We start from the raw sequence: 13,318 nt of genomic DNA on the forward strand, positions 1-13,318 counted from the left end.
CGGGGCTGAGACTGGCCTGCTCCCAGTCCTCCTGTGAAGATGGAAGCCACAGCCCACAGAGGGAAGGGCCTCTCCCCAGGCTGTGAGGGACTCACGGGTGCTCGAGAAAGATGAGTGGGGAGGTGGACCCGGCTCAGCGTGTGTCCTTAGTCACTATAGAGTGACACGGAGCACCGATGGAACCAGTAGGTCACGGTTCTGCAGCCCTCAGTGCAGTAACTGACCCAGGCAGAAGCTATCAGTGGATGTGCACACCAGCGGGAGCAGGGTTGCGGGGCGGGGGACCTCACCGACCTGCAGAGTCCTAGCTGTACCAGGTCGGAGGGTGCCTGGTGATGGGGATGTCTGCCGCACGCCTGCAGCCAGGTGGCCACACTCAACATTATCAACGTGGGACACGTTGTGGGCCCGTGTCTCTTGCTGTCACGTCATGGGAGACGTCCATGCCTCCTGTGGCATACTCCTGTCAGATGCATGGCCTCACGCCCCTCACGAGGAAGCAGTCAGACACACCTGAACTAAGCGATGTTGTGTGCTGCTGTGGTTTCGATTGCAAGGGAGAAGAAGTTGGGCAGTTCCGGATTGGGGGAGACTAAAGAGGTTCGTGCCTGAGCTAATGCACATTCCTGGGTTGAGAGAAGTGGAGTTCTGGAGGACGTGTGTGATGGTGGGGGGTGTGTGCAGTTGACTCTGGACTGTGCATTAGAGCATCTTGTAGGGTCCTCGTTAAATTTCTGAGTGTGATCATTGTTTGATGGTTATATAGGAGGCAGTCTCCATTTTTAGGAGACACGTGGTAGAGATGGAGTATGCTGTGATGCCTGCAACACACCGCTAGTGCTTCAGCAGAAAGGAAATGTGCATGTGTGCGTGTATTTGTGTGTTGTGTGTGTGCACACAGGTGCATGTATGTGCTTGTGTGGTGTATGTGCGTTATGTGTGCACATATGTGCATGTGTGTTTTGTGTGTGCTGTGGGCATGCAAATGCGCGTGTGTGCATTTGTGTGTTGTATGTGCATACATGTGCGTGTGTGTGTGTACATGTGTGGTATGTGTGTGTCAAGTGTGAGCGTGACCACTGCCAGATAAAGTGAACATGGCAAATGATAAGAGCTGAGAGTGTAGGTGAAGCCTATGCGTTGTACTGTTTTCTGGCAGATTTCCTGCTGGTTTGACTTTTAACAGTGCAAAGCTGCGGGGGCTCCTGGCATGGGCAGGAATTGTGGCTGTTGCCGTCCTTTCTGAAAGGCCCTGGCTGCAGTGCTGCTCGAAACAGAGAACAACGTCACCTGGGCAGCATCGGTGCTGAGGAAGTCGCCTGTTACCCTCGATGCTGTCTCCTTCTGCTGTTTGCGTCAGTCAGGGGCTCAGTCTCCTTCAAGAATTCACCATCACCCAAGATCACACTCAGAGATGCTGCCATGTGCCACCTTGTTGGCAAGATTTGGAGTTTCCTTCACACTGTGTTCCCAGGGTGGCGTTGAATTCTCGCGCTGAGGGAAGGTGACAAGCAGTGTGTGACGGATGGGTGAGGGGATTCCTTGAGCACACAGGCATGTGTCAGCAGGAGCCAGTTATCAAGGAGTTCCTTTACCAGGGAATATTTTCATTTGCGATGTTTGTTCACTCCCCAATGTGACATGGTAACTGTGAGGACTTGATAATTCTCCAAATAACCGAATAACAGCCCTTTTTCTTACTCCACTTGGTCTGACTTCTTTGGATTGAGTTCCTGAGCCGGTCTTCTGCACAGGCTGGGAAGTCTCTGTGTCTCCTCATAGATTTCAGCACTCCTCTGAAGCCTCATGTAACTTTAAGTCCCCTCTTTGTGTAACGGAAGGCGGAGCAGCAGCGTGGCTTTGGCTCAGATGTGCTGCGTGGGGTGAAGGACGCAGAGCCTGACCATCGGTGGGGCTCCGTGGGGCCAGGTAGTAACTTGGGGCACATTGAAGGAAGGCGGATTTGCAAAGGTGCAATCAGGAGTGGAGAGCTCTGGGGGACAGCACAGTCACGGGCCAGGAACAAGAATGGGGGCACGCTGCTTTCCCCAGGGCCAGCCAGGCAGGCCCTGGAAGAGATGGCTTTCCCCGGGCAGAGATGGAGGGGCCCCCGGGGCAGCGACTGTGCCCTGGTAGGCTGAGGGAAAAGAATCCTGGCCCCACTATCTGCTCCGATGCCCTCTGACCTTCTGGGGCTTCCCTTTTGCTGAGCACATGAAGGGAGAGAGCCCAGAGCCTGGCTGATGGGCACAGGACGGGGCGGGTGGAGGCAGGGTATAAGGGGCAGAGGAAGAGCCAGCACAGCCTCTGCCCCACCCTGCCCCACCTCACCCCTGCCCCACCCTGCCCCACCTCACCCCTTCCCCACCCTGCCCCACCTCACCCCTTCCCCACCCTGCCCCACCTCACCCCTGCCCCACCCTTCCCCACCTCACCTCTGTCCCCACCTTTACTGGAGGAAAATGCTCCTAAGGAGGCGTCTGGCCCCATTCTCATCTTGACTTGGCCGACATCTGGCGTCGCACTGATTACCAAACTGGGCCTGGTGGAGGCCACGTGTTCCCGGAGCGGAATCCAGGAAACCACTCCAGATTTGCTCTCATATCATTTGTGTTCATAGAAGGTTCTCACTTAATGTTTTCCTTATGTTTTTCCTAAGAAATGGATCTAAGTCATCGCCGCTTGCCTGTGAGTAGATTCATCCACTCGCTCACTCACTCACGTGTGTGCTGAGCACCCACTGTGTCAGGCGTGGTTCCGGGAGCTGGGGAGAGCAGTGAACCAAACGGGAAAGCATCCGGGCCCCAGGGGAATTTCTGTTCTGGGAGGGAGATGATGACCACCGGTTGCACCATCAGGAAATGTCCACGGAGGGAAAGTCAAGGGACAAATCATGCTGCGTGTTTAGGGCCTGAAGCCCACAGCTGCGACTTTCTGTTCTGGCTAATGGCACAGCCCTAAGTGTTGCTAGCAACGTGGTTTTTCCAGCGCGTTTGGTGGAATTGCACACGTGTTGAGTTCATGGAGCTCTGCAGAAAAGGCCACGAGCATCGGGGCACTGGGCACAGAGAGTGAGAACCAGGCTCCTGGCTGAAGCGAACACACCACACGTCTTAGGGCCTTGGAGTCGCGTGCGGGGCGGGGACAAGGTTCTGCTGAGTGAGTCAGGCTGGGCGCCGCGGGGCTTTGCCTTGGTCCCCCCCAACTTTCTGCGGCCTCGAGCCCACCCTCACTTTCTGCGGTGGGGACTGAGCCCACGCATGCCCAGTGGTGAATGTTCTCAGACGGTGAATGTTGTTCTTCCGGGGAAACATCTGAGATACTACCCGGGTCTGCGGCTCTGCAGAGTGGAATGTTTATGTACGTTCTGTACGTACAGCTTGTATCTCTGTGGGACTAAAACTTTCTGGGCAAGTTTATTAGAAAAAAATGTCTAAAAAGCCTCTTCAGAGGGGCTATAATGAAAAAAATGGTTGAGACACGTGGACCTAGGGTGATGCTTTCTTTTCATTTTTTTTTTTTTTTAAGTTTGTGTTTTACTCCATGTGTGTCATCTGGACTTTGGGCTTGGATCAATAACATGGTCACATAGAGGAATTGCCGGGTCGAGCAGTCGCGTCTGTTGTTACTCACAGGCCTGAGAATCGATGACCCTGGTTTGCTCCAGACCCTGTGAACTGGTGATGATCTGCAGGAAGTCGCTTCTGCGGGAACAGACAGGGTGTTCATTCTCTATGGCGCCATCTTTGTAAACACTTTGTATTTACAATTCCAGGAATAATTCTGCGTGCTTCTTGGAGGCCTGCTCTTTCTCAGGGATGTGTGTAAGGAGACAGTGCAGAGGCCGGGGGTGAGGTGGGACGTGCTCCTGCTCCATGAGCCCCACCGCCCATCCCAGGCAGGGTCACTGAACACGGTGTTTGAATCTAGTTAGAAGGAAAAACAAGTTGAGGGAGGAAAAATATGGTGCCCCCAGCTCCCAGAGCCCTGTGGGATGTCCCAAAGGTGGTTCAGTGGGTGTCGAAACAGGGACCTGCAGGTTCCTCAGTCAGTCAGCGCTTTGGATGGTGGACGGGGGAGGTGCACAGGACCCGGGTGAGGCCCACACAGAAGCAGACGGCTGGGTGACCGCGGGGGGCCCGGTGACAGCACGTCTCAGGCATCTTTGTGTAGTCACCCCAAATTCAAATTCATGGAACAGATACTTGGTGACCTGCTGTGTGCCAGGCAGGGCTGGGATCAAATCAGGCAAATGGGCTGAGGGCACAAAATTAAAGGAGCTGGTCATCCTTGGGGTCGTGCCCAGTGTGAGCACCTTCTTCAATCTTGCCCTTCAGGTACCTGGCTTCCCTCACCCTCCTCCTGGCCCTGAATATCTTTTCAAGCTCATAACCCCACGAGACAGCCACTGTAGACATCAGTTAGGCTTCTTTAGATTGGGCTGCAAGGGGCGGAAAACCCATCTTTAACAGTTTTAGGCCAAGGGGGAGTTTATTGGATCACGTAAGCCGAGAGCTCTGCAGAGGGCTGGCTTCAGGAGCAGCTCGATCCAGCATCCCATTGCTGTTGCTGGGCTCCATCTCTCAGCAATTCCCTTCTCAATCAGTCTCCCTCCTCATGAATGCAAGCAGCTCCCAGGGCCTCGTGCCTCAGGGCATGAGGAGAAGTCTGGCAGGGAGAATGAGGGTCTTTGAGCCCTCATTCTCCCCCCACCTCGCCTTCTGGCATCTCCTCAGATTTGACTGGATTGGGTGTCATTCCTAAATGGTCCCCATGGCCTGAGGGCTGCGGTGCACTGACTGATCCAGACCCAGATACCAGGGCTTCCTCCTGAGCCAAGATAGAGTCAACTCCAGGCTGTGTGGGCTGTGAGCGGGGAAGGGGATGGCCACCTAGAGGGGAAGGCAGGTGCTTTGATCAGGAAAACGATGAATGAATACTGGGTGGGCAAAACAGCAGATGGCCACTGCACCATCCTATAATCAGGGAAATTGACACTCAGACAGGGTGAGTTACCTGCCCAAGGTCACACAGCTGATTAAGTGGAATCGGTGAGATTCATGCCCTGTTATTTTGAGCATTTCTGCTCATCCATGCTTCCTGGGCCATCTTACTTTTCTTATAAACTCTTTGAGGTCGAGGGCTCTGTCTCACCTCTTGGTCCTGGCGTCACACCTTAACGAGAGCAGGTATTGAAGATAAGAATTCAAGGGACAGAGTTAAAACACAGAATAGTTGAACTCGCCTGCAGGTACCAGCTTCACATCTTGAAGGAGAGCAGCGGGAGCTGAATGAAAGAAATCAAAGCTTCATCCAAAGAAGATTTCCGTCTCAATAGTTTTGGGTGGAACGCTGGCTCCCAGCCTAGGTTCTAGCTGTGTGCTGCTCCCCTGCGTTTCCCATTTTGTAATGATTTCCGTCTCTTCCCAAGGATCGCGGAGGCCATGCATCACCAGGACTGCCTGCTGTTCGCCACCAGCCACCTGATTTCCCTGGAGGTGTCCCCACCACCCACCCTGTCTCAGAACCTGTCGGGCTCTCCACTCATTACGGTCCACCTCAAGCACAGATTGGTGAGTGGCGGTGCCTTCACCCTTGTCGCCGCCTTTGATCTGGTTTCACACTGAGGAATGCTGGGTTGTCTGTGTGCTTGCATAAAGAATCTCCAACAGCCTTGGTGCCGGCCCGAACTGGAATCTTCCTCTCCCTGGAGCTCCTTCTCTTGGGCCTTTGTTTCTGAGCTGCAGTGGGAGGCCCCTCGCATAGTGCCTGGGCTGGCCACGCGGTGTCGATGTTGGGGAAGAGGCGTCGAGGTGGCTCTCCTAGACGTGTGGAGCGATCACGGATCTTCCTCATTTATAACAAGTGTCCTTACTGGAGGAGGGGGGTACCTTGGCCATCCCAGTTACCATGTGTGTTATTAGCCATCAGCAAGATGCAGCACTGTGTTCTGTTAGAGAGAAACATGCTTCAGAGCTCAGGCAAAACCATTTTTACGCTTCAGGCATTGCGTGATAAGCTCTTGGTCCTGATGCTTCATAACCGCTCTCCTCTCCACATGTCGTTTGTTTTTGCCAGTGAGTAGGACTGACAGAGACATTGGGGATACCGATGCACTGCCATTCTTTAGTAAAAGGCAAAAGATGTATACAATCTGAGGAGAAACCAGAGTATAATGCTGCCGTTCTTTAAAAAACGCGTGCGCTGTTCCCCACGCCAGGTTCATGTCAGGAGGTATGGTGTTTGATGTGACACTGAAAGAGTGAGATTTTTCAAAGTGTTTATTCAAGAACTCACTGTGTTATTGGTCAGAATTAACACTAAAGGCATTTCCTGGCAGGATTTTCTATTTCATTCTGTTTCACTCTGCTCTATGGCCAAGGCCGACTCTGTGCGCATACCTGGGTGGGTGCTTCTGTTCTTTCCAGGGTGACTGTGTTTCTGCCCCACCTGGGAGGGGCCCACACACTTGTGCTGCTGGGTGAGCTGGGGCAGTCAAGAGATGGTACTGGAGACGGAGATGGGACTGGAGTGGAAGATGGAGATGGAGAGGGGACTGGAGATGGAGGTGCGGATGGAGATGGGAATGGAGATGCAGAGGGGACTGGAATTGGAGATTGAGATGGACATGGGAATGGAGATGGAGATGGAGACGGGACTGGATATAGAGATGGAGATGGAGAGGGGACTGGAGATGTTGGAGATAGAGATGGAAATGGAGATGGAGAGGGGACTGGAGATGATGGAGATAGAGATGGAAATGGAGATGGAGAGGGGACTGGAGTTGGAGATGGAGATGGAGATGGGAATGGAGATGGAGATGGAGAGGGGACTGGAGTTGGAGATGGAGATGGAGTTGGAGATGGAGATGGGAATGGAGATGGAGAGGGGATTGGAGATGAGACTGGTCACCTCAGCCTCCTTGCCCTTCCTCTCTGCATGTGACCAGCCGTGAGCCTGTTTTCAGTGTGTCCCCTGCCTTGCTTCCTCCGCCCCTCCCGGTGTCCCTCTCCTTCCCAGTGACTTCTCACCTGGACCAGCAGCCTCCGCGTGTTCTGTCTGCTCCATTCTCCCCACAGTTTACAGACTTATTGTCAAACACACAGATCAGGTGGTGCTACTTACCTATTCAAAGACCTTCTGGGACTCAAGGTTCCCTGCAGGAGAATTTACACTCTGGGCCTGTCGGCAGATGTCTAGCAGGTCTTTCCCGCCCGGCTTTCCATGCACCTCTGGCTCTCCTTCCAAGCCCAGCAGACAGCTGCTGTCATTGCTGGTGTCGTTCCCTGTGCCTGGTGGGCCTGTCTCACCCATCTGCTGTCTGAGTTCACCCATCTCAGGAGGAGCCTTCTCTCCTCCAAGCCCTCTGCGGCCTGCACAGAAGGGAACCTCCCTCCACGCGGTCTTTGCGCTGTATTAGCACAGAGTCTCAGCTCTGTATGCTATAATCATTTATGCTAATCAGTAATCCCTTAAATGGCCTGCAGCTTCTCAGAGGCTGCCAGATCCAGCATGGAGCCCACTGCCCTTCCCCCCTGCCCGCAGTGGCCTTGGCACTGCGTGGAGGCTCAGGAGACGCTTGCTGAGTGAGTGCTGTGCCGGAGTCAGTGCCCTGTCTTGCAGTTGTGCAGTTGACATTTGTGTCTTCTCTTTGTGTGGAGAGAATCCTGGTCCCCTGCACAGGCTGTCCCCTCTGCCGTGATGTCAGTGAGGGTGCACTCCACAGGCTCAGCCTATGTTTGGAAATGTGGCTGCGACATGCAGCAGAGACACTTGGAGCTTCTGGGCTTGAGGGTAGGGCAGTGCTGCCCCGCGGCGTGTCAAGCCTGTAGTCAAGAGTCTGTAGCTGGGCGCAGTGGCTCAGCCTGTAATCCCAGCACTTCGGGAGGCCAAGGTGGGCGGATCACCTGAGGTCAGGAGTTTGAGACCAGCGTGACCAACATGGTGAATTCCCGTCTCTACTAAAAATACAAAAATCAGCCGGGCATGGTGGCCCGAGCCTGTAATCCCAGCTACTTGGGAGACTGAGGCAGGAGAATCACTTGAACCCGGGAGGCAGAGGTTGCAGTGAGCAGAGATCGGGCCAGTGCGTTCCAGCCTGGGCGATAGAGTGAGACTCTGCCTCAAAAAAAAAAAAAGTCTGTAAAGGCAGGAGGCTTGTTCTGAAGGACTCTGGAACCTCTGTGTGCTCTGAGGTTGAAGTTGTCCTTGTGAGTGAGGTGGGCACTGTGAAGCACAGCCGACCACAGGGCCTGAGGGACTTTGAAGAGCAGGAGTCAGGGATCATCCCAGAAGGTGAGGCGGGGGCAAGTGGAGAGGGGAGGGCACGGGCAGAGAGGGGAGGCAGGAGATGAGAGCACAGCTTGAGTGCCAGGGCTGCAGGAGAGCCACACAGCCAGTGAGGTTACACAGCATACATGCACACGCATACACACACATGCACATGCACATGCACACAGTCCACACACACCCAGTCCACATACACTCAGTCCACACACACCCAGTCCACACACACCCAGTGCACACAGTCCACACACACCCAGTCCACACACACCCAGTGCACACAGTCCACACACACCCAGTCCACACACACCCAGTGCACACAGTCCACACACACCCAGTCCACATACACTCAGTCCACACACAGTCCATACCCAGTCCCCACACACCCAGTCCACATACACCCAGCACAGACACACACACACCCAGTCCACACACAATCAGTCCACACACACCCCATCTACACCCACCCAGCACAGACACACACACCCAGTGCACACACACTCACTCCACACACTCAGTCCACACACACTCAGTCCACACACTCCCAGCACAGACACACCCAGCACACAAACACCTAGTGCACACACACCCAGCACAGACACACCCAACACAGATACACCAACACAGACACAAACACCCAGTGCACACACACCCAGTGCTCACACACCCAGTACACATACCCAGCACAGACACACCCAGTGCACACATACCCAGTGCTCACACACTCAGTACACACACACCCAACACAGACACACCCAGTGTGCACACACCCAGTCCACACACACTCAGTGCACACACACCCAGCACAGGCACACACACTTAGTATACACACAGCCAGCACAGACACACACAACCAGTGCACACACACCCAGCACAGACACACACTCAGTACACACCCAGTGCATGTACCTGCATCCAGCACCCATATAGGCACATATGTGCACATACCCAGCCTCAGTACACCACACACACCGACACACACACCCACATCCCATCCTTGCAGGGCCGGCAGGTAGGAGCTCTGGAATTTGGAAAGTGGAAAGTGATTTGTTTTGTCTGGTATGGCTTCTCCCTCTCGTGCACAGAGCGGGTCTCCAGGGTGCCTCACCCAGGGGCCTCACGCCTATCCGCTCTCCCGCCCAGGCAGCCCCCTCCTCTCCCACTCCTCCAGCTCCCAGGAAGGCAGGGTGGCAGTAAACTGAATCACAGCCACGTGGTTAGATTGCAGGGCTGAGGCCCGCATTCTCCCAGGTGTCTGCATGTCTGACCCTTCACGCCGGGATGAGGGGCATCGGCTCGGGTTTTGGTTAAATCCCGCCTTGCCCCTGCTGTGGAGGACGCCCCCTGTGGTGCCTGGTGAACCTTAGTCTTAGAGATCGGTTCATCCCCGCGGTTTCCCACCGAGAGGGTCCACCAGTGAGACAGGAGGGAAGCTCCACCTCGGGTCGGCCGCCTCACGCAGCGCTTCCCTCGTGCTGCCCCATCATTCACTGACTTCAGGCCACGAGGACCCGTATGTTAAACAATCCCGCTCTTCTATTTTCTTAGGAAACCAGCTTGAGTCAGTTATGACCGGTGCAAAATAAAATAGAAAAGAGCCCACCTCCCTGATATGGAGGGTTTTGCCTTTTACACACAAAGGGCAAATCAATGTATTTTGCTTAACGCTGTTTAGTGGCACCCCTGGATCGTTTCTGTTAGCAGAGGTGTTGACATTCTCGTGGAACTTCTTTCTCAAAGCACAGCCGTTTCATTTCCACCACCCTTTCTCAGTACGCTCAGTCATTTTCTTTCAGGACAGACTGAGGTGTTTGAGAGGGACTTTGCTTTTGGCTCCCGGGTTGTTCTGGTTCTGTGAGGTCCTGCAGGTGGGGGCAGGAGCCCAGCTGGGGCCTGAGGACATGACAGGCAGCGTCTCAGCAAGGCCGGGGCACAGACTCGTAGGCCTCCGGTTCAGAACAGCCGTGGTGGCCCAGCCTGTGCCCGGGTGTGCACACTTCAGAGCCCTGCACAGACGCCTCTGCAGGATTTTGCTTTTTAACATTGTTTGCTCCCCAAACTATCAAATAATCCAGATTCAGACCCTGACCTTGGGCCGACTCAGCAGTGGCCTCTGGTGGACCGGCTCCTGCTGCTCCTCCTTGGTCACCCTGACCTCTGGCCACTGTCCCACCCGGCTCTAGGGGCACCCAGTGGGCTGAGACCTTCGGCAGCTCAGGCTATGCTGTTGGGCAGAGCGGGTCTCCAGGGTGCCTCACCCAGGGCTACGCAGGAGGCCTTTCCAGCAGTTCCACTGAGGCTCTGGACAGGGATGCTACCCACACACCACCCTGGGACGCCAGGGGTTTTCGACACGACGATCGGTCAGAATCTGCAGTGTTCTCTTCAGTCAAAATTGCTCACTGCGTTCAACCAAAAGCTGAAGTTTTAATTCAACATTGAAATGTCAGTTTCCCAGGTCAATGAAGATGAAAGCTTTTTCCTTAGAAGGGAGCAAGGAATGAGCGAAGCAGAGTCTTGGGAAATTTCAGAATTAGAATAAGCACCAAAAATACGTATTGCAAAGAGCCCAGTGCTGCCAGTTTGATGGCTGTTGTCAAACATTTTCTCATCAGACGGCCTCAGCTCCACCTGAATGTCAGTCAGTCCCAAAGCCAGGCCATCGCTCAGGCTACCACAAATTCTGGAAGGGACTGAGTGTAATGAGGGTGTTCCAGGGAGATGCTCCAGGGAAGGACCCCGAGCTCCATCCAGGGCAGGGGGTGCTCCAGGGAGATATTCCAGGGGCAGGACCCCGAGCTCCGTCCAGGGCAGGGGGTGCTCGAGAGAGATATTCCAGGGGCAGGACCCTGAGCTCCATCAAGGGCAGGGGGTGCTCGAGGGAGATGTTCCAGGGAAGGACCCCGAGCTCCGTCCAGGGCAGGGGGTGCTCGAGAGAGATATTCCAGGGGCAGGACCCTGAGCTCCATCCAGGGCAGGGGGTGCTCGAGGGAGATGTTCCAGGGAAGGACCCCGAGCTCCGTCCAGGGCAGGGGGTGCTCGAGAGAGATATTCCAGGGGCAGGACCCTGAGCTCCGTCCAGGGCAGGGGGTGCTCGAGGGAGATATTCCAGGGGCAGGACCGCGAGCTCCATCCAGGGCAGGGGGTGCTCGAGGGAGATATTCCAGGGGCAGGACCCCGAGCTCCATCCAGGGCAGGGGGTGCTTGAGGGAGATATTCCAGGGGCAGGACCCCAAGCTCCATCCAGGGCAGGGGGTGCTCGAGGGAGATGTTCCAGGGGCAAGACCCTGAGCTCCGGCCAGGGCAGAGGGTGCTTCAGGGAGATGTTCCAGGCCAGGACCCCAAGCTCCGGCCAGGGCAGGGCTCTGCCCCTCATGCATGCCTAATAGCACCCCAGGGCTGAGGTCAGGGAAGAGGTTTGGTTCCCCAGGCTCACACGCAGTGGGGCACTGGTGATCTGAGGAGGGAAACGGAGGCACTGTTGGCAAAAGGAGGTCTGTAAGCTGAGTGCTCTGAAATGTTGGCCATGCCCACCTGGACATGGGCCAGGTCTGAACGAGGCAGTTGCCCGAGCTGTGGATGCCCTCACATGAAGCCCTGGGTAAGGCTGAACCCTGGACATTTATCCGAGGCCCCTGGACCGTGAAGAAGCCCTCAGGCTCTGTCCTTGTGCAGTGCGGGGGACCTGTGTCCTCAGGACTGGGCACCTCCTCAAACTAGGCCCTCCTCTAGGTGTGGCTCTCAGGGGCCAGGCCCGGGATGGCCAGTGTGAGGAGCAGCCCTGGACACAGGGTGCCTTCGGGCTGGGTTTTGGCCTCCTTGGGGTGTCACCGTCACCACAGCTTGTGACTTTCGAAGAGCAGCCCAGAATTTGGGCTTTAAATTATATCCCTGGATGTGTCTTGTTGGCAGCTAATTCAAATTTGTTTCCAGTGTTGTCAAAGAAACCCTATGTGTGGGTTGCATTCAGCCAGGAGGTCAACAGTTTACAACCTCAATGTTTTAAGCTTTTTATTCTGAAATGATTTTAAAGTTACAGAAAAAAAATGTCAAGAATAGTACAGAATGCCCCTGTATGTCTACAGACATACAGATCATTCATCCGTCTTCCCTGATGGTGGTATTTTTAAGTACAATGATTGAAACCAGTAAATTGACACTGATATTAACGACAGACGTTTTTTGAATGGTGTCAGTTTCCTCACTTGCAGCTTTTTTTCAGTCCCGGGGTCTCATCTCGGCTGGCACAGAGCGCTTAGTTGTCACGTCTCCTAGGCAACTGCAGTCTGTACGGGTTCTTAGCTTCCCGTTGTCTCCCATGACTTTGACACTTCGCGGCGGCCGGCCGGTGCTTTGTGGAGCATCCCTGGTCACTGTCCGATGCTTCCTCCTGATTAGGCCGATGCTGTGCGTCTTTGACAAGAACGCCAGGGAAGTGAAATGGTCCTTTCTTATCGCAGCATCAGGCTGTGTGAGTCGGCCTGTGGGCTACCAAGCGAGAGACATTTATTTTCTTGTTGTTCTAGGGGTTGGAAATCCAAGATCAAGGTGTCGGTAGGTTTGGTTTCTCCCAAGGCCTCTCTCCTCGGCTTGCAGACAGTGTCTTCTCCCTATGTCCTCACATGGTCGTCCCTCGTGCGTGTCTGTGTCCTGATCTTCCATTTTTTCTTTTTTTGAGACAGAGTCTCTCTCTCTTGCCCAGGCTGGAGTGCAGAGGTGCAGTCACGGCTCACTGCAGCCCTGATCGCCGGGCTCAAACCATCCTCCTGCGTCAGCCTCCTGAGAATCTGGGACCTCAGACATGCATCACAATGCCCTGCTCATTTTTCAGTTATTTGTAGAGATGAGATCTCACTATGTTGCTTAGGCTGGTCTTGAACTCCTGGGCTCAGGCGATTCTGCCTCAGCCTCCCAAAGTGCTGGGATTACAGGTATGAGCCACCGCGCTCGGCCCTGATCTCTTCTTATAAGGATACTGGTCACGTTGGATTAGGGCCTACTCTAATGACCTCATTTTATCTTAATCACCCCTTCA

At 54.6% G+C, this 13,318-nt stretch overlaps 1 protein-coding gene across 16 annotated transcripts in view, besides 1 other annotated feature; it reads left to right on the top strand.

Annotated features, from left to right (window-relative positions):
• The window catches only part of ADGRD1 (adhesion G protein-coupled receptor D1), a 187,563-nt gene that overhangs the window by 54,861 nt on the left and 119,384 nt on the right, over window positions 1-13,318 (top strand). For all 16 annotated transcript variants that reach the window (NM_001330497.2, XM_011538204.2, XM_011538206.2 and 13 more), the window contains one exon: window positions 5,432-5,573. In NM_001330497.2, the coding sequence (NP_001317426.1) occupies window positions 5,432-5,573 (142 nt within the window). The remainder of the gene's footprint in view (window positions 1-5,431; window positions 5,574-13,318) is intronic.
• Window positions 1,705-2,904: an enhancer, noted in NCBI's record as "CDK7 strongly-dependent group 2 enhancer chr12:131495017-131496216 (GRCh37/hg19 assembly coordinates)". NCBI's record gives its function as "activates an origin of replication core promoter dependent on BRD2, BRD4, P300/CBP, MED14 and CDK7 cofactors, with strong dependence on CDK7, by STARR-seq in HCT116 cells {active_cell/tissue: HCT116}" and the evidence as "EXISTENCE:reporter gene assay evidence [ECO:0000049][PMID:35650434]".

The sequence above is a fragment of the Homo sapiens genome, chromosome 12, assembly GCF_000001405.40.
Source record: "Homo sapiens chromosome 12, GRCh38.p14 Primary Assembly".
Classification (NCBI taxonomy): Eukaryota; Metazoa; Chordata; class Mammalia; order Primates; family Hominidae; genus Homo; species Homo sapiens.